General features: G+C 41.6%; 1 protein-coding gene across 2 annotated transcripts in view, besides 1 other annotated feature; it reads left to right on the top strand.

Moving 5' to 3' along the window:
• The window catches only part of ZNF675 (zinc finger protein 675), a 34,412-nt gene extending 9,025 nt beyond the window's left edge, over positions 1-25,387 (top strand). Inside the window, exons 2-4 of one of the 2 annotated variants that reach the window (NM_138330.3) lie at positions 15,030-15,156; positions 15,979-16,074; positions 23,482-25,387. In NM_138330.3, coding sequence (NP_612203.2) covers positions 15,030-15,156; positions 15,979-16,074; positions 23,482-24,962 — 1,704 coding nt within the window. In that variant the 3' untranslated portion in view covers positions 24,963-25,387. Of the gene's footprint in view, positions 1-15,029; positions 15,157-15,978; positions 16,075-21,058; positions 21,467-23,481 lie in introns of those variants that run through there. The other variant, XM_047438379.1, reaches the window with a different exon arrangement.
• Positions 11,583-12,323: an enhancer, noted in NCBI's record as "OCT4-NANOG-H3K4me1 hESC enhancer chr19:23848667-23849407 (GRCh37/hg19 assembly coordinates)". NCBI's record gives its function as "activates a minimal SCP1, AML or CMV promoter by ChIP-STARR-seq in naive H9 embryonic stem cells {active_cell/tissue: H9 hESC(naive)}" and the evidence as "EXISTENCE:reporter gene assay evidence [ECO:0000049][PMID:30033119]".
• Positions 25,388-26,234: the final 847 nt, after the last annotated feature.

Raw genomic sequence — 26,234 nt, 5'->3', positions numbered from 1 at the left:
ACTTTTCTATCAATGAGCACAAAATGATTTTCCATTTGTTTGCGTCATCTCTGACTTTTTTTCCCCCCAAGACAGTTTTACTCTTGTTGCCCAGGCTGGAGTGCAATGGCACGATCTTGGTTCACTGCAGCCTCCCGCCTCTGGGGTTCAAGTGATTCATCTGCCTCAGACTCGCGAGTAGCTGGGATTGCAGGCATGCACCACCACCCCGTGCTAATTTTGTATTTTTAGGCAGAGATGGGGTTTCTCTATGTTGGTCAGGCTAGTCTCAAACTCCCGACCTCAGGTGATCCACCCGCCTCGGCCTCCCAAAGTGCTGGGATTACAGGCGTGAGCCACTGTAGCCGGCCATCTCTGACTTCTTTAAGAAGTGTTTTGTAATTCTTGTCCTAGAGATCTTTCATCTCCCTAGTTAGCTGTATTTCTAGATATTCGTTTTTGTGGCAACTGCAAATGGGATTTTTTTTTTTTTTTTTTTTTTGAGACGGAGTCTCACTCTGTTGCCCAGGCTGGAGTGCAAGTGGTGTGATTTTGGCTCACTGCAATCTCCACCTCCTGGGTTCAAGCAATTCTCCTGCCTCAGCCTCCTGAGTAGCTGGGATTACAGGCATGCACCACCACACCTGGCTAATTTTTGTATTTTTAGTAGAGATGAGGTTTCCCCATGTTGGCCAGGCTTGTCTCCAACTCCCGACCTCAGGTGATCTGCCCCTCTTGGCCTCCCAAAGTGCTGGGATTACAGGCGTGAGCCACCGTGCCCAGCTAGGATTGTATTATTAATTTGGCCTTTGCTTTGGATATGGTTGATGTACAGAGATGCTACTAATTTTGTATGTTTATTTTGTATTCTGAAACTTTGCTGAAGTTGTTTGTCAGCTTACAGAACTTTTCTGCTGAGACTATAGGTTTTTTTTAGATGTAGAGTCATGTCATCTGCACCCGGGATAGTTTGAGTTCCTCTTTCTTTTTGGGTGCTTTTATTGTTTCGGCTTGCCTGATTGCTCAGCCAGGACTTCAAAATTCCATGTTTAATAGGAGTGGTGAGAGAAGGCACCCTTGTCTTGTGCCAGTTTTCTTTTTCTTTTTTTTCTTTTCTCTTTTTTTTTTTTTTCTGAGACAGTCTTGCACTGTTGCCCAGGCTGGGATGCAGTGGCGCAATCTCGGCTCACTGCAAGCTCCACCTCCCGGGTTAACGCCGCCATTCTCTTGCCTCAGCCTCCCAAGTAGCTGGGACTACAGGCGCCCGCCACCACGCGTGGCTAATTTTTTGTATTTTTAGTAGAGACGGAGTTTCACCATGTTAGCCAGGATGGTCTCCATCTCCTGACCTCGTGATCCACCCACCTCGGCCTCCCAAAGTGCTGGGATTACAGGCGTGAGCCACCGCGCCCGGCCGTCTTGTGCCAGTTTTCAAGAAAAAAAATGTTTGCAACTTGTATCTATTCAGTATGTTGGCTGTGAATTTGTCGTAGATAACTCTTTTGAAGTATGTACCTTCAATGCCTAGTTTGTTGAGGGTTATAACATGAAGGATGTTAAATTTTACTGAAAGCTTTTTCTGCATCTATTGAGTTAATTTTGTGGTTTTTGTCTGTAGTTCTGTTTAAGTGATAAATGACATTTATTGATTTGTATATATTGAACCAACCTTGTGTTCCAGGGATAAATCCTACTTGATAATGGTGGATTAACTTTTTGATGTGCTGCTGGATTTGGTTTTTCAGTATTTTGTTGATGATTTTTTGTTAATATTTATTAAAAATATTGGCCTGAAGTTTTTTGTTTGTGTGTTTGTTTTGTCTTTGCCAGGTTTTGGTATCAGAATGATGCTGTTCTTATATAATAACTTGGGGAGAAGTCCTTTCTCAATTATTTGGAATAGTTTTAGTAAAAATAATACCAACTTTTGTTTGTACATCTGGTAGAATTCAGCTGTAAGTCCGTCTGGTCCTGGGCTTTTTTTGGTTGGTAGGCTACTTATTATTAATTTGATTTTGGAGCTTTTTATTGGTTTATTCAGGGGTTCAATTTCTTTTTTGTTCAGTCTAGGGAGGAGGTATTTGTCCAGGAATTTATTCATTTCTTCTAGATTATTTAGTTACTGTGCATAGAAGTGCTCATTGTAGACTTTCATCCTTGTTTGTATTTTTGCCAAATCAGTGATAATGTCCATTTGTCATTACTAATTGTGTTTTTTTTTTTTTTGGATCTTCTCTTTTTTTCATTAATCTAGCTAGTGGTTTATTTATCTTACTGAGTTTTTTCAAAACATTTACTTCTAATTTTTTAGTCTTTTTTGTAGTTTTTTACATCATCTAAATATTCTTCAGTTCAGATATGATTTTAGTTATTTGTTGTTTTCTTCTACCTTAGGGGTTGATTTGCTCTCACTTCTCTCATTCTTTTATTTAGGATGTCAGGTTATTAAATTGAGATATTTCTACCTTTTGATGTGAGCATTTAATGCTATAAATTTCCCTCTTAATACTGCCTTAGTTTTGTTGCAGTGATTCTGGTATGTTGTGTCTTTGTTCTCATTTATTTTAAAGAACTTGATTTCTGCCTTAATTTTATTATTTACCCAAAAGTCATTCATATTGAGGTTAATTTGCATGTAGTTGTCTGGTTTCAAGTGGTTTTCTTTGTATTGAATTATATTTTTATCAAGCTGTGGTCTGAGTATGTTGTTGATACAATTTTGAAATTTTTGAATTTGCTCAGGATTGTTTTATTTCTGATTTTGTGGTCAGTTTTAGAGTATGTGCCCTGTGGTGGTGAAAACATTGTATATTATGTTGTTTTTAGATGGAGAGTTCTATAGATATTTTATTACTATTTGGTCAAGTGTTGAGTTTAGGTCCTAATATCTTTGTTAATTTTTCTGCCTCAGTGATTTGTTTACTAGTGTCTGTGGTGTATTGTAGCCTCCCACTATTTTTGTGTAAGAATCCAACTGTCTTCATAGGTCTCTAAGAAGTTGCTTTATTTATGTGGACCCATGGATTTTTTATAGCACCTTTTTCTCTTCTGCTTTTTTCCCCATAAACATTCTTTCAAGTGAATACTGTGTGCCCAATGCTACTCCTTAGATGCCTGAATCCAGTGTCTACTAAAATTAAGATGTCGAAGAGTTCAACATATCCAGAGACCTGGCTGTTGTAAGAGAAAATTTAAGTTAGAAATAAAAGGCTCTCTCTCTCTCTTTTTTTTTTTTTTGAGATGGAGTCTTGCTCTGTCACCCAGGCTGGAGTGCACTGGCATGATCTTGGCCCACTACAACCTCTGCCTCCCGGGTTCAAGTGATTCTCGTGCCTCAGCCTCCCAAGTAGCTGGGATTACAGGCATGTGCCACCATGCCCAGCTAATAATTTTTATATTTTTAGTAGAGACAGAGTTTCACCATGTTGGTCAGGCTGGTCTTGAACTCCTGACCTCAAGTGATCCACCCACCTTGGCCTCTCAAAGTGGTGGGATTACAGGTGTGAGCCACTGCACCCAACCAAAAGGCTCTGTTTTTATACCTGAAAATAATAAAGAATATTTTGCTTATCTCTCTCCTTTTTTTTTTTTGAGACGGAGTCTCGTTCTGTCGACCAGGCTCACTGCAACCTCCGTCTCCTGGGTTCAAGTGATTCTCCTGCCTCAGCCTCCCGAGTAGCTGGGATTACAGATGCCCGCCACCATGCCCGGCTAATTTTTGTGCTTTTAGTAGAGATGTGGTTTCCCCATGTTGGCCAGGCTGGTCTTGAACTCCTGACCTCAGGTGATCCGCCTGCCTCAGCCTCCCAAAGTGCTGGGATTACAGGCGTTGAGCCCCTGTGGCCTGCCCATCTCTCACTTCTTTAAGCATTTAGGTTATATGTAGATATTTTTCTCTGCTTTTTAAAAATAAATGTGTATCATATTAACAGGTAAATAAACTTTTTGGCATTCTTTGTGACTCAGGATTTTATTTTTATTTTTGTTTTATTTTATTTTATTTGTGAGATAGAGTTTTGCTCTTTTCGCCTAGGCTGGAGTGCAATGGCTTGATCTCGGCTCACTGCAACCTCTGCCTCCCGGGTTCAAACAATTCTTCTGCCTCAGCCTCCTGAGTAGGTGGAATTACAGGTGCCCACCACCATGCCCGGCTGATTTTTGTATTTTTAGTAGAGACAGTGTTTCACCATGTTGGTCAGGCTGGTTTCGAACTCCTGACCTCAGGTGATCCACCCACCTCAACCTCCCAAAGTGTTGGGATTACAGGCGTGAGCCACTGTTCCCGGCCAACAGTTTTCTTAATGTTCTATCATTGTGGAGTTTCTCTGGGGCCGGATAAAATTTTTTCTTCTATTATTATTATTTTTTAAATTATACTTTAAGTTCTGGGATACATGTGCAGAACGTGCAGGTTTGTTACACAGGTATACATGCACCATGGTGGCTTGCTCCACCTATCAACCTGTCATCTAATTTTAAGCCCCACATGCATTAGATATATGTCCTAATGCTCTCCCTCCCCTTGCCCCCAACCAGAAAATTTTTATTTTAATGATATTTCCCAAACACTGTCTGGAATTACCAGATATGATAGAAACATATAAGGTGCCAACCAGGATCTACTCTAGAGTGGGCTTACCCTCTCAGGCTTCCAGTCACTCCCAAATTTGCTGCCAAGTGCATGCTGTCGCCTAAATATGCAGGCAGAATTGTCTCTCCTATTTGGTATTGATAGTCCTCTACAGTCACTTCTGGAGGGGCTAGGCCAGATTTCTACGAACTTCACAGGGCAGCAATCAGCCATTTTACCTCTTTCAATTACTCTTGTATCTTCAGACCTGAAACTGATTTAGAGACCATGGGGCCCACAAACCCAATTAGAGTAACAGGTGTGCATTGAGTATACACATAGACATGAGAATCTCCACTTTCCACTTCCTCCTGTTACTGAAATGCTCACAAATGTGCAGGTAACACCTGCTGATACTCTTATCCATCCAGAACCTAAATCTGCAGCTCCAAATTCTGAATCTAGGTCTTGAAATTTTGGAAATTAAAAAACTTATATCTGGGAAATGCAGGTCCTTTTAGTTGTCAAACTTGAAGAGACATTAAAATGAGAGCACAATTATGTCTTTCTCCCCACTTTCAACTATATGTATTCATACCTTGAAACTGTTTGCTATTGCCACCAGTAGCTGTGAATTAAATTAATAATGCCACACTGGACACTCTAAGCCTTAATGATGTACATCCAGTCAATAATTAATGTTATTCCTGTAAGTAAGAGTTTCTGACAAACAAGTTTGTACCAGCCCAAAGAGAGAACAGCCTCTGTCCTCTTTTTACCTTTACAAATACACTTGTAACTGGTGGTAAGCAAAATATAAATTCCAAGCAACTTGAGTCTTTGCTTTCATGTTATAATCCTCAAGCTTGGTCCTCCCAAAACTGTCTATTTATATTTATGTTGCCTCAACTTTTCCCTTTTAGGTAGAAATATCATTTAGAATGAGCTAGAGCAGCCTCTGTGAGTGGACCTCTCCTTTGATTGTACTCCACTTTCTGTGACACACAGGAATGCAGAGCCAGGTTTATCTGACGTAGAATCTGCACATAAGGTCTAACCTCTGTCTGGGATTCACAAGTCAAGGTTAGGCTTTCGATTGAGAATGTACAGAAAACATACGGGGGACATTTTCTGCATTGTGAGATGTCAACATGGAAATATTAAAACCCCTTTTTGAGGGTGCGGGTTTTTGAACTTCTCAGATCTTGTGCAGTGACTTTCTACAGTTATGTGAGGGGCTCCAGGTGTAAATAGAATCTGATTACAGAATCTGTAAGTGTAAACAAGCATCTTCAGAGTAAGAGATTAAGACTTACAAGGTATCCAGTGCCATGACCAAACTATACCTACCCATAAAATGTGATACTGGAGTAGAGTATTCTTGTCCTTTTTTTTTTTTTTTTTTAAACCCAAGAGCTAACTAACTGGAGTAGAGTATTCTTGTCCTTTTTTTTTTTTTTTTTTAAACCCAAGAGCTAACTAATCAGGACATGCAATTCAAGTTGTGGAGCTCTACCAGGACAGTTCCATTCTTCATTTAGCCTGAGTCTCTCATCCCTAGCTTATCATTGGGCCACCAGCTCAGGGGCACTGAGAACCCTCTCACAATCACCTAGGCATCCTTGAGAAATTTGAAAATGTCCAGAACAGAATTGTGTAAGGCTGACATGAGTGGTTAATTCTGCTTCTGTCTCAGTGCAAGAGAAATAAGTCATCCTGTGTTTGTTCCTACCCCCATGCAAGAGATGTCTTTGGTTGGTACTCAGATGAGAGTTTCTCCAGTTTCCTGGTACTTAGGTGAAAAACAAGGAAGAGGTCTGGAGACTCAGATAAACTAATTGCTTCCATTTCATATGACCATTAGATAAATAGATAAAGCAGTCATGGTCCCTGTCATCCGGGAACTTTTAGTCTAGACTATAGCAACTAGATAAACCGCTGAATTGGGCATGATGTGGTTGCTACGATGTTCCTAGACAGGGGCAGTGAGGAAGATCCCAGGCCCCTTCAGTCTTCATCTAATTCCTCCTTTTGCACTGCTAGAGTTTTCTGACCCAACCCCATGGTGGCACAGGGGCAGTCAGTTCTCCAGGGGTAATGACTGGTACCTTTGCATTGACAGCAGGGACCTGGCAGGGGCTTAGTATATCCCTTTGCCCAATGCCCACTTTTCTTGCATTTGAAGCAAGAGTCTCTGCTGGCTTTATCTTTATGGCCCTTCAGATTTTCCTTAGATGCTCTTCGGGCATTCAGGACATCACCAATGATGGCTGCCATAATTTTGACTTGCCGTTTTTCTTCACTCTGTTTCCTTTTTCCTTCCTTCAGGTCACAATTGTTATACACCATAAACATTGTATCAAGAAGCTGGTTTTGGTTAGTCTGTGGCCCTATCTGTAGCTTGTGGAGCTTATGTCTAATGTCAGGGGCAGATTGGCTAATAAAATGCTTTGCCATTAGTATTTTCCCTTCAGGAAGAGGAAGGGACTAGATTAGTATATTTTTTTAAAGGCTTCCTCCAACCTGCCATAAAACATGGCTAGATTTTTCTTCTTGCTTTGTGTAACCTTCTGTACTTTATCATAATTTTCTGCCTTAGTTATTCCCTTTCTCATTCCTCCAAGGAGAGCCTCAAGAAATTTAGCCTGGTTGTTTCCTACAGTGGTGTTGTAGTTTCAATGAGGATCAGTAGTGGGAACTGTTTCTGGTCCTGAGTGTTTGCCCTGAGGGTTTCAGGTGAATAATCCATCCGCTTCCTGGTGGGTGGCGTCAAAAGATTTGTTCTTTTTCTGAAGGGATGCAACAGGTTGCTAGAATAAATTGAACATCTCTCCATGAGAGATCAAAGTTTGAAACCCATCAGCAAATTTCCCAAGATTCTCAGAATAGCTTCCTAGCTTCTCCTTACATTGTTGCGTATCAGTTATATAGAGAAGGGGACCTTCACTAGGACTGGCCTCTCAGCTCCTGCTACCCTAAGAGGTAGCAGGGCTGGAGAGAGAGTTCAATACAGTGTTCCCCCTTGAGTATGAGGGGAACTTGTAGGGTCCCCGGTGTTTGCTTCTGAGTTTTAGCCTCAGAAGCACTTGGCAAGGGGTCGCTTGGCAAGGATGGTCGCTACTCACCCTGAGAACCAGGTGGCCCTGTAAAAGGTTATCTATAATATCTACTTCTGCCTTAGAACTTTCCTTTGGGGGGTAGGTTCTGGGAGTTTCACAGATTGTTAGGTTTTGATATAGGGTCATGAAGGGCTGTACATAGGAGATTTCTGACCATTTGCCCTGCCTCTTGCAAAATAGGCCTGATTGCAGGATAGCGTCATAATTAATGCTACCATTGACTGCCCAGTGTTCTGAACTGAGCAGCTCATAATAGGGCCAGACAGTATTGCAGAAAAATATTATACATTTTCTTGTTAGATTGTCAGGGTCAAATTGATTCTAATGGTGGAAGATATAGCCAAGCAGGGAATCAGAATTGGAAATAGAGTTCCCCACAGTGGAATCAGGTGAAATAGATTAAGAGTTGCTCATAGTGGTCTAGAAAAAAGAAGAGGACTTTGCAAAGTAGAGGGCTCATTAGGTGACCCAAATTTTTCCTGGGGCATCTCCCTGGAAAACTTCTTGGCCCAGACTGGGGTCTCTGGGAACATCCCCTCTTTAGGCCCCAGACTTAGTCTGTCAGATGGCTCTGACCTTAGATAGGTGCCAGCACAACTTTAGAATGGTTCCCTCCACCACTGATGACCTACTATGAGGTGTTGTTTTTTTTTTTTAATTTTTTTTTGAGACAGAGTCTTGCTCTGTTGTCCAGGCTGGAGTGCAGTGGCATGATCTTGGCTCACTGCAACCTCTGCCTCCTGGATTCAAGCGATTCTCCTGCCTCAGCCTCCTGAGTAGCTGGCATTACAGGTGCGTGCCACAATGCAAGACTAATTTTTCTGTAGTTTTAGTTGGTCAGGCAGGTCTCGAACTCCTGACCTTATGATCTGTCCGCCTCAGCATCTCAAAGTGCTGGGATTACAGGCATGAGCCACCACGCCCGGACTACTATGAGCTTTTTTAAAGGTTTATCTATCCCATTTAAAGCAACCCTTTAACTCTCTCAACTTCAGCAATAATACATTTCCTTTCATAAGCTCCCCCCACCCCCCCACCACCGTGCACCTCAGAGACCACCTGCAACATGCTTGGACCCTCTGACTTATATAACCTTTTTGCATAGCTAGGTGGGTTTTCTGTTCATAGCTAGTTGAGTGGGGGAAGGGAAGAATTTAGCATAAGAAAAGAAAAGAAGGTTTAAGTCACCTGAAACATGTGATTCACCCTGGGCGAACTGCCCGCTGCCAACGGTGTCATATGTAGGGATAAGGGACTATAACCAGAAAGGATAGAAAATCTTTCCCCCTTCTGGGCAGGACAGGCAGCCCTGTTTGCTCATTGGCCTTCAGAGAACATCAGAGTGGCTCTGGCTAGTTCCACTCAATTACCAACATCTACTAGAAAATGGCTGCTGAAAGACTGAAAAAGGAGAAAAGGAAAAGGTCTTGAGAGGTGACAGCGTGCTGGCAGTCCTCACAGCTCTCGCTTGCTCTCGGCGCCTCCTCTGCCTGGGCTCCTACTTTGGCGGCACTTGAGGAGCCCTTCAGCCCACCGCTGCACTGTGGGAGCCCCTTTCTGGGCTGGCCAAGGCCGGAGCCGACTCCCTCAGCTTGTAGGGAGTTGTGGAGGGAGAGGCGCGAGCGGGAACCGGGGCTGCGTGCGGTGCTTGCGGGCCAGCTGGAGTTCCGGGTGGGCGTGGGCTTGGCGGGCCTCGCACTCGGAGCCCCCGGCCGGCCCTGCCCGCCCCGGGCAATGAGGGACTTAGCACCCGGGCCAGCGGCTGCGGAGGGTGTACTGGGTCCCCCAGCAGTGCCAGCCCACTGGCGCTGCGCTCGATTTCTCGCCGGGCCTTAGCTGCCTTCCCGCGGGGCAGGCCTCGGGACTGCAGTCTGCCATGCCTGAGTCTTCCCTCGCCTCCGTGGGTTCCTGTGCAGCCCTATCCTCCCTGACGGATGCCGCTCCCTGCTCCACGGCGCCCAGTCCCATCGACCGCCCAAGGGCTGAGGAGTGTGAGCGCATGGCGCAGGACTGGCAGGCAGCTCCACCTGCAGCCCCGGTGCGGGATCCACTGGGTGAAGCCAGCTGGGCTCCTGAGTCTGGTGGGTACGTGGAGAGTATGTCTAGCTCAGGGATTGTAAACACACCAATCAGCACCCTGTGTCTAGCTCAGGGTTTGTGAGTGCACCAATCGACACTCTGTATCTAGCTGCTTTGGTGGGGCCTTGGAGCACCCTGTGTCTAGCTCAGGGTTTGTGAGTGCACCAATCGACACTCTGTATCTAGCTGCTTTGGTGGGGCCTTGGAGCACCCTGTGTCTATCTCAGGGATTGTAAATACACCAATCGGCACTCTGTATCTAGCTCAAGGTTTGTAAACACCAATCAGCACCCTGTGTCTAGCTCCTCAGGGTTTGTGAGTGCACCAGTTGACACTGTATCTAGCTGCTCTGGTGGGGCCTTGGAGAACCTTTATGTCTAGCTCAGGGATTGTAAACACACCAATCAGCACCCTGTGTCTAGCTCAGGGTTTATGAGTGCACCAGTCGACACTCTGTGTCTAGCTGCTCTGGTGGGGCCTTGGAGAACCTTTATGTCTAGCTCAGGGATTGTAAATACACCAGTCGGCACTCTGTATCTAGCTCAAGGTTTGTAAACACACCAATCAGCACCCTGTGTCTAGCTCAGGGTTTGTGAGTGCACCAGTTGACACTGTATCTAGCTGCTCTGGTGGGGCCTTGGAGAACCTTTATGTCTAGCTCAGGGATTGTAAACACACCAGTCGGCACTCTGTATCTAGCTCAAGGTTTGTAAACACTCCAATCAGCACCGTGTGTTTAGCTCAAGGTTTGTGAGTGCACCAATTGACACTCTGTATCTAGCTGCTCTGGTGGGGCCTTGGAGAACATTTATGTCTAGCTCAGGGTTTGTGAGTGCACCAATCGACACTCTATCTAGCTACTCTGGTGGGGCCTTGGAGAACCTTTGTGTCGATACTCTGTATGTAACTAATCTGCTGGGGACGTGGAGAACCTTTGTGTCTAGCTCAGGGATTGTAAAGGCACCAATCAGCGCCCTGTCAAAGCAGACCACTCGGCTCTACCAATCAGCAGGATGTGGGTGGGGCCAGGTAAGACAATAAAAGCAGGCTGCCGGAGCCAGCAGTGGCAACCCGCTGGGGTCCCCTTCCACAGTGTGGAAGCTTTGTTCTTTAGCTCTTTGCAATAAATCTTGCTACTGCTCACTCTTTGGGTCCACACTGCTTTTATGAGCTGTAACACTCACCATGAAGATCTGCAGCTTCACTCCTGAAGCCAGTGACACCACGAGCCCACCGGGAGGAACAAACAACTCCAGATGCACTGCCTTAAGAGCTGTAACACTCACCGCGAAGGTCTGCAGCTTCACTCCTGAGCCAGCGAGACCACGAACCCACCAGAAGGAAGAAACTCCGAACACATCTGAACATCAGAAGGAACAAACTCCAGACGCGCCACCTTAAGAGCTGTAACACTCACCACGAGGGTCCGCGGCTTCATTGTTGAAGTCAGTGAGACCAAGAACCCACCAATTCCGGACACAGTCTCAGAAAAAGGACAAAAACAATAGGACTCAGAAAAACAAACAGACGAAAGGTCTCAGGTCCCTCACCCAAACTGTGAGGTGGTAGTCAGGCACTTGCACGTGGAAACCTTTCAGTTTCATCAAAAAGTGGCCCTGGGTTGGGGGGAGGGGAGGAGAGAGAGAGAAAGAGAGAGAAAGAGAAAAAGAGAGAAAGACTTCCCTGTATGTAAAAGGAGAAAGGAAAAAATTAAATCCAATACTTTGGGCCTACCTCCTCTCCTGCCTGGCTCACCAAAATAAGTTACCAGTAGAGGGTCTTGACTGCAAGTTGTCCAGATTCTTGGCCTTTTGAACAAAGAATTGGATGAAACAGCAAAGCAAGAAAAGAATGAAGCAACAAAGGAACAAAACGGGTTTATTGAAAATGAAATTACACTCTGCAGTGTGAAAGTGGGCCCGAACAATGGCTTAAGGTCCCAGACAACAGAATTTTCTTGGGTTCAGATATCCCCTAGAGGTTTCCCATTGGCCACTTGGTGCTCACCTCATGTAAATGAAGTGGTGGCCCACAATTGCTCTGATTAGTTGCAGGAAGAAACCAATCAGATGCTGAAGCAAAGTTAAAAAGGTCACAATCCTCTGCAAATATCCAATTGATTGCAAAAGCAACCAATTAGAGGCTAAGGTGAAGTTACAAAGTGTCACTTTTATTCAAATAGAGACTCAGCCCACAATCAGTCTGAATGGTTGTGGACAGCCAATTTCCTATCTGCCTCACAGAAAAGGTGGGGATTTGCAAAGGCAGTAGCCTCTGGTCTTTTTGTTACTTAGGCATGGAAAGTTAGTTTTCCTTTCCATTTAGGTCTAGGAATTCGGTGTGAAATGGTCTTAGGTTCCCTGCCTCCAGACCCTATTCTCTTGCCTCATTAGTACATGTGTACCTCATGGTTTCCACATGCAGACTTATTTAGATGTTGCTGCCTTCTGTTTATTCTGTAAACTTTAAAGAGCCAGCAAAGAATATGAAAATTGGTAGTCTTCATTTGAGAAGTATTTGTGTTGTAACAAGAGTGCTGAGTGTAAGGGACTCCATGCTGTGCCTGCTTTCTCTAATGCTAATCATGAGCCCCAGAAAAGCAATTGATAGGGAACATTAATGGGTTTAAAATACCCATTAATGGCTGGCTGCCATGGCTCATGCCTTTAATCCCAGCACTTTGGGAGGCCAAGTTGGGCGAATCACTAGAGGTCTGGAGTTTGAGACCAGCCTGACCGACATGGTGAAACCCTGCCTCTACTTAAAATACACAAAAAATTAGCTGCTTGTGGTGGCAGGCGCCTGTGTTATCCCAGCTACTCAAGGCTGAGGCAGGAGAATCGCTTGAACCCAGGGGGCGGAGGTTGCAGTGAGTCGAGATCACGCCACTGCACTCCAGCCTGCGCTACAGAGCGACACTCCATCACACACACACACAAAAACCCAAAGAACAAAAAAACCACTCATGAACCCTAAGTCTGCAGAATTACATCACAGAGAGTGGAGCCACAGTTTCCAAGTATTTTTTAAGCCCATTAAAGCTTTAAAGGCAATGCCCAGCTAAGTGGTTTTCAGCCCAGGTTTGATTTTTTTTTTTGAGGTGGGGTCTTGCTCTGTGCCCAGGCTGGAGTGCAGTGGTGCGATTTCAGCTCACTGCAACCTCCACCTCCTGGGTTTAAGCGATTCTCCTGCCTCAGCCTCCTGAGTAGCTGGGATTATAAGCAAGTGCCACCTCGGCTGGCTAATTTTTGTATTTTTAGTAGAGATGGGGTTTCACCATGTTGGCCAGGCTGGTCAGGAACTCCTGACCTCAAGTGATCCCCCCGTCTTGGCCTCCCAAAGTGCTGAGATAACAGGTGTGAGCCACCATGCCCAGCCCAGGTTTCTAATTAAGATTACATGGCCAGTTTGCAGAAATATCTACTTGTGCCCTATCCACAGGTCTGTTTATTCTTCTGGGCGGAGGTATCATGTTTTGTTTTTTGTTTTTGAGACGGAGTCTCACTCCGTTGCTCAGGCTGGAGTACAGTGGTGCGACCTGAGGTTACTGCAACATTCGCCTGCCAGGTTTAAACGATTCTCCTGCCTCTGCCTTCCAAGTAGCTGAGATTACAGGCACGTACCATTATGCCTGGCTAATTTGTGTATTTTTAGTAGAGATGGGGTTTTGCCATGTTGGCCAGGTTGTTCTCAAATTCCTGGCCTCGAGTGATCTGCCCACTTTGGCCTCCCAAAGTGCTGCGATTACAGGTGTGAGCCACTGTTCCCGCCCATGTTGTTTTAATTAAGTGCCTCTTGTGACTCTAACATGAGGCCAAAATCAAGTATGAGGGGTTCAAGATATATTCATGAGAGTTCTACCTTTGCTCTAAAGAATGGTCAAAGGGCTGGTTCTGTTTGGTTTGGTAGTGACAGGAAAGTGTGGTCCGTATTTTCATTGCTGTAGCAGAAATTGCTGATGTCCATGGCAGGGGAGGACACCTGAGGACAGAAGAAAAGGAACTTTTACTTTTATCTCCGTGGAGCAGCTCATGGTTCCTGAATCGCTTCTGGTATGAAGGACAGAAATGGGTGGACTTTTTCTGTGAGTCTTGGTCCTTCTGCCTGTGAGTGTGGTGGTACCAGGTAAACATGTGGTGCTGATACCTTTAAAGGCATATTCTCCAGATGCAGGTGTAATTTGTCCAGAGAATCGCATGTGAAAAGAATTTTCAGAGAAAGGAAAAAATGGCTTTTTTTCAGTTAAACATGTCTCAGATCAAGAGCTGTGTCCGCTCTGCCTCCTGGAATGCCATGCGTTTAGTACTTGCAAACTTTGACTTCTCTACTTGGGTTTTTTCTCCCTAATGAATTTGTTTTAACTACTTATAAAAACTCTTATGATAGTCAAGAGTCTCTGAAAAATACTTCTTTTCCATATACCAGAGGCTTCTCTACATCATGACTTCTTATATGCCATGCAGAATTCTCACGATTATTTTATAATCTGCAATATTAAAAATGTTACCTGTGGCTATTGAACATGCAAAGGTGTAGATAACTCAACATTTCTATTGGGAAAACCTGCGGTCCTTAGTAAAAATGGAGAACATCTAATGTTGAGGCTCCATCTGTGTTCTCAATTAGCTATTATTTAAACAAGATAGCATTTATTACACAGAAGCTTGTGAAGCACTCAAAAAGCTACGTGTTTGTGTTTATGCCCTTAATTATGTATTTTTTTGAGATGGAGTCTCACTCTTGTTGCCCACGCTGGAGTGCAATGGTACGATCTCAGCTCACTGCAATCTCCACTCACCACAGCCTCCACCTCCCAGGTTCAAGCCATTCTCGTGATTCTCCTGCCTCAGCCTCCTGAGTAGCTGGGATTACATGCATGCGCCACCACGCCTGGCTAATTTTGTATTTTTAGTAGAGATTGGGTTTCTCCATGTTGGTCAGGTGGGTCTTGGAACTCCCGACCTCAGGTAATCTGCCCGCCTCGGCCTCCCAAAGTGCTGGGATTAAAGGCATGAGCCACTGTGCCTGACCTATTATATATGTTATTATTTAGAAAATTATTATATATACACTGGTGTTGTGGCTCTTGTGCCACTCTGTTTTCTCAGGGTTAGAGAACACATTAGGAAATATTTCTGTGTAAAAAATATGATTTTATTGGATAATTTCAGTCACTCCTATAAATCAGAACCTGTTCTCTTTAGTCTCTCATTTTACCTTGAGTCAAATTATAATCTCTGTTGGCTACCTGGTGAATATGTTTGTGTGTATGTGTTTTTCAGGGACTGTTGACATTTAGGGATGTGGCCATAGAATTCTCTCTGGAAGAATGGCAATGCCTGGACACTGCACAGCGGAATTTATATAAAAATGTGATTTTAGAGAACTACAGAAACCTGGTCTTCCTGGGTAAGGATAACTTAAACACACAGTTTCTTTTTTTTTTTGTTTTTCTTTTGAGACGGAGTCTGGCTCTGTCACCAGGCTAGAGTGCAGTGGTGCGATCTTGGCTCACTGCAACCTCCGCCTCCTGGGTTCAAGCAATTCTCGTGCCTCAGCCTTCCAAGTAGCTGGGACTACAGGCGTGAGCCACCATGCCTAGCTAATTTTTTTTTGTATTTTTGGTAGAGACAGGGTTTCACCATGTTGTCCAGGCTGGTCTCGAACTCGTGACCTCAGATGAGCCATTCGCCTCGGCCTCCCAAAGTGCTGGGATTACTGGTGTGAGCCACCATGCCTGTCCCAACAGACAGTTTCTAATATACCGTAAAGGTTTCATTTCTCTTCTTTGTAGAATATATTTTGGTAATGTATGCTTTGCATAAATGAGTTTCAGATCCCTGTTTTTGAGAAAATCTTAAGGATTTGTCTGTATAGAGAAGAATTTCTTTAGTATGTTTCATCTTGATCTGAACTTAACACATTCCTGAGCTGATCTGTGTCCTTCACTCTAGTGGTAATTTCAGAAGTTTAGTGGCATAAAATATTGTTGCCCACACCTTAAAATCTAATTGCCAACACCAAGTTTTGATTCAGTAGTACTGGGTAGTGAAATTAAGAACCTACAAATTTAGAATATTTTCTAAGTATTTAAAAATTTCTGTTATAAGTCAGTATTTTGGGATTAATTTACTAGACTATTCCATTACATTCTCTTTACTGAGCACATTACTAGGTTGGTAATTGGAGAATATGAGCAAAATTAATGTTATTTATTTTTTAATAAAACAGGTATTGCTGTCTCTAAGCAAGACCTGATCACCTGTCTGGAGCAAGAAAAAGAGCCTTTGACTGTGAAGAGACATGAGATGGTGAATGAACCCCCAGGTAAGTGAGAATGAAAGTGAATACAACAGGTGACACTGATGAGAGGTCCAAAGGTCAAAGAGAAAGCCAGTCCTTAAAATGTGATTTGGGAAGCCGTGTTTTAAAGGAAATAATTTCTGGAAAGCCTGAGTATTTTATGCTCTCACATTTGAGCATTTTCTGTCTTATGCTTTTAAATTCTCTAAGGTTTCTGTTTACATTTTTGGTAATTTTCCTTTAAGTTTTCGGTGAGAACCAGTGTCCGCTTCATGGCATACAAGAGACTGTGCAATCTGAATCCTTACTCATTTTTTTTGGAGGCACAGAAATACCTACATAATTTTGAGAAACTGTTAAATGATTTTTTAAGTTCTTTTTTTCCATCTTGTCTGAAACGTATGAGAAGTGGTTTCTTTTCTATTGTTTTCTTTCCTTCTTTTTTTTTGAGACAGAGTCTTGCTCTGTAGCCCAGGCTGGGGTGCAGTGCTACAGTCTGGACTCACTGTAACTTTTGCCTCTTGGGTTTAAGTAGTTCTCCTGTCTCAGCCTCCCAAATAGCTGGGATTACAAGCACGTGCCACCACACCCGGCTAATTTTGTGTTTTTAGTAGAGATGGGGTTTCACCATGTTGGCCAGGCTGGTCTCAAACTCCTGCCCTCAGGTCATTTGCTTACCTTGGCTTCTCAAAGTGCTGGGATTACAGGTGTGAGCCACTATTCCCCGCCCTTTTTTTTTTTCATTTTTCTACACATTTTACTTGTTTGTATTTCTATAGTCTTCTAATGTAGTCTTGAAATTATAAAGGGCTGGGCATCGGCTCAAGGGCCAGGCACGGTGGCTCACGCCTGTAATCCCAGCACTTTGGGAGGCTGAGGTGGGCGGATCAGGAGGTCAGATAAAAACTAGAAAGAAGCTTTCTGAGAAACTGCTTTGTGATGTGTGCATTCATCTCACAGAGATAAATCTTTCTTTTGATTCAGCAGTTTGGAAACCTGGCTAACATGGTGAAACCCGGTGTCTACTAAAAATACAAAAAATTAGCCAGGTGTGGTGGCACACATCTGTAATCCCAGCTACTCAGGAGGCTGAGGCAGGAGAATCGCTTGAACCCGGGAGGTGGAGGTTACAGTGAGCCAAGTTTGTGCCACTGCACTCCAGCCTGGCTATAGAGTGGGACTCCGTCTCAAAAAAAAAAAAAAAAGAAAATTACAAAGTATGATATTCTTCTACTTTGTTCTTTTTTCTCAAGCTTGCTTCGGCTATTTAAAGTGTATCATAGTTTCATTTAAATTTTAGAATTATATTTTTTATTACTGTGAAAAACAAATGCCACTGGAATTTTGATAGGGAGTCTTGAATCTATAGATCATTTTGGATAACATGGCACAGTATTTATTCTTTCAGTTCATAGACATAAAATATTTTCAAGTTTATTTATGTCTTTTCTAATATCTTTCACTGATATCTCTCACTGTAAAGATTTTGTACCTCCTTGGTTAAATTTGTTCTCAGAAATTTATTATTTTAATGCTATTGTAAATAAGTTTTTTTCTCTATTTTATCAGAGAGTTTAAGTTTATGGAACCCTAACTTGTATGTTAGTTTTATATTTTTCTGATTTACTGAGTGTATTTACAAGTTTTAATGTACTGTTTATGTTTATATATATGATCATATGAGCTACAGCCAGCAACTTTTTACTTATGTGTCTTCAATTTCAATTGCTCTTTTTCATTTTTCGACTAATTCTTCTGCCAATACTTTCAGTGTTATGTTAAACTAGCAGCATTGACAATGGGCACAATATAGTTTTGCATTGGCATCTGTGTACAGAAGGAGAAAACACCTCAAGTTTTTATAAACTGGTTTCAGAAGGTAAAGATCTTTTGTTGGACGCTCAGGGTGATGGGATGCCCTCTGGGTTTGTAGTGGAGAGGGGGTTGTAGCTTTGTCACAAGGCTGCTGGGTCTGCACTAGGGTCTGCCTTTAGTTGGCTTGTCCTAAAAAACTTGGGTAGTTTAAATTCCCATTTTGGACAGACTGAATTTTGGCAGAGGATTTTGCTCTGTAGGGCAGACACTAGGGCAGGTTTTTGCAGTAGGGTCTGCATATGGTGGGCCTTATATCAAAATATGAATGACTATGGCTTTCAGCGAGTACCAGAAAGGATCTTTCCAGGTCACTGTGTGGGTTTCTGTATAGGCAGAACTGACCATAAACTGTGGCTCAGCGAGCTGGAACTGAGTCATTGAACTGCTTCAAGGACCACAGTAAAGACTAAGGTCCTTTACCTTAGGCCAGTCCACATGGCTGTAAATGGGTACCTTCCTCTGGGCCTCTGGAAAAGCAGAATCTCTCCCAGACTTTGGCTGTGAGGAGTTTGGGATGGTTACATAGTAAGTTCAGAATTCTTAGTGGGACCAAGTTGGGTGGGCCATTTCCTAGTCTGTAGTTAAGAACAGGGATCCTGTAGTTTGCACCTGAATGAGGGCCTGCCTTCTGAAAAGAAGACTTTTAAATCTTGGGCTTTATCAGAGTTCCACAACTCCCTCTCTCTCTGGATCTCAAAGCTCTCAAAGGCACTTATTTTGAGATGGAGTCTTGCTACATACATAATTCAGGCTGATTTTGAAATCCTAACCTGAAGCAATTCTCTAAACTTAATATATCATGTATCTTTCATTACAGGTGTGAGCCATGATGCCTGGCAATCTCATAAAGGCATTTTTGTCAGGGATGGCTGACAAATTGTCTTGCTGTGCAGGAGATAACAAAATAGGGCACCTTTTATTCTCCCATCTTACCAATTTCACTCCTGCTATACATTTTTATTCTCCATTTTCTGTTTCAATTTTGTCTGTAATTTTAGATTTAGAAATTTAGAACAATATGCTAGAATTTACATGTAATGTCTAAAGTAAATTAGATAATTTGTAGGCACTCCATATTTACTAAAACTGTTACTTATAAATTTAGGCTTGATGTAGGAAAAAATAATTCTATGATTTGCACCCATTTTGTCCAGCCTGTATCTAAATAATATAATTTATTCGCAGATATTTGTTTTATATATCAGGCGCTCTAACCATATTCTGCAATATATATATTTTTATATATTTAACATTTTATATATATAGATCTCGATCTCTATCTCTAGATCTATATCTATCTATAGATCTCTAGAGATCTATATCTATAGATCGGTATCTATAGATCTATATCTATCTATAGATATCTATAGATCTATATCTATAGATATCTATAGATCTATTTCTATATCTATATAGATATATCTATATATCTATAGAGATATAGATCTATATCTCTATAGATATCTATAGATATATATATAGCAATGTAAGGCTATTTTTTTGCTTCTAAAGTTGGATTACAGCAGTTTTGTTTTGTGTAACAATAGCATATATTTAAGACGTAAAATTTCTGTCTTTTTTTTGAGACAGAGTCTCGCCCTGTCGTCCAGCCTGAAGTTCAGTGGTACAATCTCTGCTTACTGCAACCTCCACCTCCCAGGTTCAAGTGATTCTCCTGTCTCAGCCTCCTGAGTAGCTGGGACTATAGGCACATGCCACCATGCCTGACTAATTTTTGTACTTTTAGTAGAGATGGGGTTTCACCATGTTGGCCAAGCTGGTCTTGAACTCCTGACCTCGTGATCCATCTTCCTTGGCCTCCCAAAGTTCTGGTACAGGTGTGAGCCACAGAGCCTGGCCCAAAATTGTCTTTGTTTTTTGTTTTTTTTTTTTTTAATTTTGAGATGGAGTTTTGCTCCTGTTTCCCAGGCTGGAGTGCAATGGTGCAATCTTGACTCACTCCAACCTCTGCCTACTGGGTTAAAGCAATTCTCCTGTCTCCACCTCCTGAGTATCTAGGATTACAGGTGTGCGCCACCACACCTGGCTAATTTTTTTGCATTTTTAGTAGAGACAGGGTTTCACCGTGTTGCCGAGTCTGGTCTCAAACCCCTGAACTTGTGATCTGCCAGCCTCACCTCCTAATGTGCTGGGATTACAGACGTGAGCCACTGCATCTGGCCTAGACACATCATTTTTAATGGTACATCAGTGTTGCCTGCAAGATTTTATGAGTAAACGTTTCTCTTACTATGGTTTTGCCATTCCATATTAATGTGTTTTTTCAGTTTGACATCTGTTTATTGTTTTTTTGTTTTACCATTTTAGACAATTTGCAATTGTTTGTACACTTTGTGGGATTTAATTAAGAAATAAATCAGCCACATATCTATCCCAATCAGATTACATATGTGTGTTTATCTATGAATATGACCCCAATTTTGGTTATGGCTTATCTTGTATGTATTCTTTCTTAGCTGATTTTCAATGATTGTTTTATCTTGTCTAAGTGATTAGTCATGGAGATAGTCTTTTTTGTTCTTTTGAGATGGAGTTTTACTCTTGTTGCCCAGGCTGGAGTGCAGTGGTGTGATCTCCGCCCACTGCAACCTCTGCCTCCCAGGTTGAAGTGATTCTCCTGCTTCAGCCTCCCAAGCAGCTGGGATTACAGGCATGCGCCACCACGCCCAGCTAATTTTTTGTATTTTTAGTAGAGACGAGGTTTCTCCATGTGGTCAGGCTGGTCTCCAACTCCCGACCTCAGGTGATCCACCTGCCTTGGCCTCCCAAAGTACTGGGATTACAAGGGGTGAGCCACCACACCCGGTGAGATAGTCTTATTTTCACCATGTGTTTAATAATAAATATATATTTCTTTTGTGTGAGAGAAACACTTTTGTGATTTGAAGGTAATTCATGTAAAGATTTATAATTCTGTATTTTTTCCATTTTTTCTTTTAAAAAATTTAATTGTAAAACCACATAAATTTTACCATCTAAAATCTATTGAAGTGTGTATTTCAGGGCCAGGCATGGTAGTGGCTCACATCTTTGATCCCAGGATTTTGGGAGGCCAAGGCAGGAGAATTGCTTGAGCCCAAAAGTATGAGACTAGCCTGGGAAACGTATGGAGATTCTCTGTCTACAAAAAATTTTTAAAAATAGCCAGGCATGGTGGTGTGCACCTGTGGTCCCAGCTTTTTGGGAGATTGATGGTGCAGGATTACTTTAGCCTGGCAGTTTGAGGCTACAGTGAGCCATAATTGTGCCACTTTACTCAAACTTGAATGACAGAGTGAGAACCTGTCTCAAAAAAACTGTACATTTCAGCCATGTTTAGTATATTTGTATTGTTATGCAAAAGACTTCTATAAATTTTTCATCTTGTGAAACTAAAACTCAATACCCATTAACAACTGCCCATTTTATCCTCTCTCCAGCCGTTGACAAACACCCTTGCACTTTCTATGAGTGTGACTAATTAAGATATCTCACATAAGTGGAATCATATAGTATCCATTTTGTTACTGGCTTACTTCAGGTGATATAATATTCTCAAAGTTTATCTTAAAATGTTGACTAGATTTATTTAAGGCTGAATAATCCATTGTGTGTGTGTGTGTGTGTGTGTGTGTGTGTGTGTGTGTATACCTTTTTTGTTTTTTTGAGATGGAGTCCCATTTTGTCACCCAGGCTGGAGTGCAGTGGCACTATCTCAGCTCACTGCAACCTCTGCATCCTGGGTTCAAGTTATTCTCCTGCCTCAGCCTCCTGTGTAGCTGGGACTACAGGCACATGCCACCACACCCAGCTAATTTTTGTGTTTTTAGTAGAGAAGGGGTTTCACCATGTTGGCCAGGCTGGTCCCAAACTCCTGACCTCAGGTAATCTGCCCACCTCAGCCTCCCAAAGTGCTAGGATTATAGGCATGAGCCACTGCTAATGCATTTTTTATAGAGATTATGTTGAATTTGTTCACCACTTTTGGTTGCATTGACATTTTTGAAAAATTAAGTGTTTTGGCCCTTGAGCCAAGAATATGTTGAACACTGTTTTATTTTCATATATTTTTCAATTTGCCAATTTTACTTTTCCTTTTAATTTTTTGTTTTATTCACTTTTGGTCAGAAAATGTTTATAATTTTGGTTTTCCTAAATTTATTTGTTGTTGCTGTTAGAAGATTTTACTGTGTCACTCAGGCTGGAGTGCAGTGGCTCCACTGCAGCCATAACCTCCCAGGCTCAAGTGATCCTTTTACCTCAGTCTCCCAAGTAGCTGGCACTACAGACGTGCCATGGCTGCTACCATGCCTGGCTATTTTTTTGATTATTTGTAGGAACAGGGTCTCGCTATGTTGCCCAGGCTGGTGTCAAATTTCTGGCCCAGCTGGGTCTTCCAAAGTGTTGAGATTATAGGCATGCACCCAGCCAGCATTCTTAAATTTAATAAGACTTGATTTGTGTCCTAACAGAATACACCAGGTGCAAAGAAAAATATTGTGTATTCTCTTGCTTTTGATTGAAAAGGTTTGTACAGGTCTGTTAAGCCTATTTGGTCTGTGATATGGCTTGGATGTCTATGTTCTCCAAACCTCATATTGCAATGTAATCATCATTGTTGATTTGGGTCCTGATAGAAGGTGAATATGGGACCTAGTGGGAGGTGCTTAGGTCATGAGGGAAAGTTCCTCATGAATGGCTTGGCACTATCTTCTTGTTAATCAGTAAGTTTACACTCTGTTAATTCAAGTAAGAGCTAGTTCATTTAAAAAAAAAGAAAACCTGGCTTCTTTACCTGACACTTGCTTTGTATCTTACCATGTGATGTGTCCAGTTAATCTGTGCATTGCACTGTGATTGTAAGCTTCCTGAGACCCTCACCAGAAGCAGATGCTGGCACATGCTTTTTGTACAGTCTGCCGAACTGTGAGCCAAATAAACCTTTTTTCTTTATAAATTATCTACTCTCAGGTATTCCTCTATATGTAAATAATTGAAGTTTGCAATTTACTTTTTTTTTTTTTTTGAGACAGAGTCTTGCTTTGTCACCCAGGCTGGAGTGTAATGGTGCGATCTTGGCCCACTGCAACCTTATCCTCCCAGGTTCAAGCAGTTCTCCTGCCTTAGTCTCCCAATTAGCTGGGACTACAGGCTCCCGCCACCATGCCTGGCTAATTTTTTTTCTATTTTTATTAGAGATGCGGGTTCACTATGTTGGCCAGGCTGGTCTTGAACTCCTGACCTCGTGATCCGCCCGCTTCAGCCTCCTAAAGTGCTGGGAGTACAGGTGTGAGTCACTGCACCTGGCTGTAATTTACTTCTGAAAACATTATGTTATATTGGGGAGTAGAAAAAGCTGTGTTGGGTAAATGTGACAGAATTTTTTTTTTTTTTCTATGTGGCTCTTTGCATTGTGCTCACCTGGGGCAACACATACACTTAATTATGGCCTGTGGTGCCATCTTGCTTATGTAGTTTGTGTAATTTTATAAGTTAGGTTTGGAAAGTATATTTATCTGAGTCTGTAAAGTAATGTGTTATTTTTATTTCTTTCAGTAATGTGTTCTCATTTTGCCCAAGAGTTTTGGCCAGAGCAGAACATAAAAGATTCTTTTGAAAAAGTGACACTGAGAAGATATGAAAAATGTGGAAATGATAATTTTCAGTTAAAAGGCTGTAAAAGTGTGGATGAATGTAAGTTGCACAAGGGAGGTTATAATGGACTTAACCAATGTTTACCAACTATGCAGAGCAAAATGTTTCAATGTGATAAATATGTGAAAGTCTTTAATAAATTTTCACATTCAGATAGACATAAGATAAAACATATGGAAAATAAACCTTTCAAATGTAAAGAATGTGGCAGATCATTTTGCATGCTTTCACACCTAACTCGACATGAAAGAAATTATACCAAGGTGAATTTCTGCAAATGTGAAGAATGTGAAAAAGCTGTTAACCAATCTTCAAAGCTTACTAAACATAAAAGAATTTATACTTGTGAGAAACTCTACAAATGTCAAGAATGTGACAGAACTTTTAACCAATTCTCAAACCTTACTGAATATAAAAAAGATTATGCTCGAGAGAAACCATACAAATGTGAAGAATGTGGCAAAGCCTTTAACCAGTCCTCACACCTTACTACACATAAGATAATTCATACAGGAGAGAAACCCTACAAATGTGAAGAATGTGGCAAAGCCTTTAACCAGTTCTCAAATCTTACTACACATAAAAAAATTCATACTGGAGAGCAACCCTACATATGTGAAGAATGTGGCAAGGCTTTTACCCAATCCTCAACCCTTACTACACATAAGAGAATTCATACTGGAGAAAAACCCTACAAATGTGAAGAATGTGGAAAAGCTTTTAACCGATCCTCAAAACTTACTGAACATAAAAACATTCATACTGGAGAGCAACCCTACAAATGTGAGGAATGCGGCAAAGCTTTTAACCGATCCTCAAATCTTACGGAACATAGGAAAATTCATACCGAAGAGAAACCCTACAAATGTAAAGAATGTGGCAAAGCTTTTAAACACTCCTCAGCCCTTACTACACATAAGAGAATTCACACTGGAGAGAAACCCTACAAATGTGAAGAATGTGGCAAAGCTTTTAACCGATCCTCAAAACTTACTGAACATAAGAAACTTCATACTGGAAAGAAACCCTACAAATGTGAAGAATGTGGCAAAGCTTTTATCCAATCCTCAAAACTTACTGAACATAAGAAAATTCATTCTGGAGAGATACCCTACAAGTGTGAAGAATGTGGCAAAGCTTTTAAACACTCCTCATCCCTTACTACACATAAAAGAATTCATACTGGGGAGAAACCCTACAAATGTGAAGAATGTGGCAAAGCTTTTAGCCGATCCTCAAAACTTACTGAACATAAGATAATTCATACTGGAGAGAAACCCTATAAATGTGAGAGATGTGACAAAGCTTTTAACCAATCTGCAAACCTTACTAAACATAAAAAAATACATACTGGAGAGAAACTACAGAACTGGAATGTGTGATAATGATTTTGACAACACCTCAAATTTTTCTAAATATAAAGGAAATCATACTGGTGAAAAATTCTAGAAATGTAAAGAATGTGTCAAAGACTTTAAATGGTTTTCACACTTCATTGTATGTAAGATAATTCATACTGGAGAAAACTACAAGTGTGAAGAATTTGGCAATACTGTTAATTAAGGCTCAAACCTTATTGCACAGGAAAGCGTTTATACTTAAGAAAAATTGTACAAATATAAAGAGTGTAAAATAGCCATTAATATCTGTTGACATCTTAATATCAGAATGTTGGTACTTAATAAAAGCATTATAAATGCAATTACTGTCTAAAGACTTTAAGAAAATATAAGCCTTTAAAGTGAAGAAGAGTATTCGTTTTGAAGACAAAGATTACAAACATAAAGAGGGTTGTAGTACATTTACTGGTATCATAAAGCTTATCATGTACATTTTGTACTAGAGAAAAACCCTGAAGCAGTTGCTCAAAGTTTTTTCAACATCAGTGAATCTGTATGGGAGAAAAACTCTGCAAATGTAATACATTTAGAAAAACACATTTTTTCAAAATCTATAGCTTTAGAAAACACCAGAGAGTTAGTACTAAAATATATTTCTGCAGGCTGGGCGCAGTGGCTCACACCTGTAATCCCAGCATATTGGGAGGCCGAGGTGGATGGATCACCTGAGGTCAGGTGTTCGAGACCAGCCTGGTCAACATAGCGAAACCCTGTCTCTACTAAAAATACAAAAATTAGCAAGGCATGGTGGTGAGTGCCTTTAATTCCAGCTACTCAGGAGGCTGAGGCAGGAGAATCGCTTGAACTGGAGGGGCAGAGGTTGCAGTGAGTCAAGATCGTGCCATTGCACTCTAGCCTGGGCAACAAGTGTGAAACTCCATCTCTCTCTCTCTCTCTCTCTCTCTCTCTCTCTCTCTCTCTCTCTCTCTCTCTCTCTCTATATATATATATATATATATATATATATATATATTTTTTTTTTTTTTTTTGTAGATGCAGTAAATATAAAACAATATTTATTCTAAAATTAAGTCTATGTAAATATCAGATAGCTCAGAAATATCTAAGGCACTGACACTTCAGACATTACAGTAAATCAGAATGCTGAGTATAAAAAATAATCCAGAACTAAAGTTGTTAGATAAATTGTGTATAACTTTAAAAGGTGTAGAAAATTTTTTGAAAAGTTATAATTACATTGAAAGTATACTTTTTTCCTTAAAAAATACAGATTATTTGCAACATGAATAATGT

Source organism: Homo sapiens, chromosome 19 (genome assembly GCF_000001405.40).
Source record: "Homo sapiens chromosome 19, GRCh38.p14 Primary Assembly".
Classification (NCBI taxonomy): Eukaryota; Metazoa; Chordata; class Mammalia; order Primates; family Hominidae; genus Homo; species Homo sapiens.
Note: the sequence above shows the minus strand (reverse complement) of the source record. Positions and strands in the feature narration are given on the sequence as shown.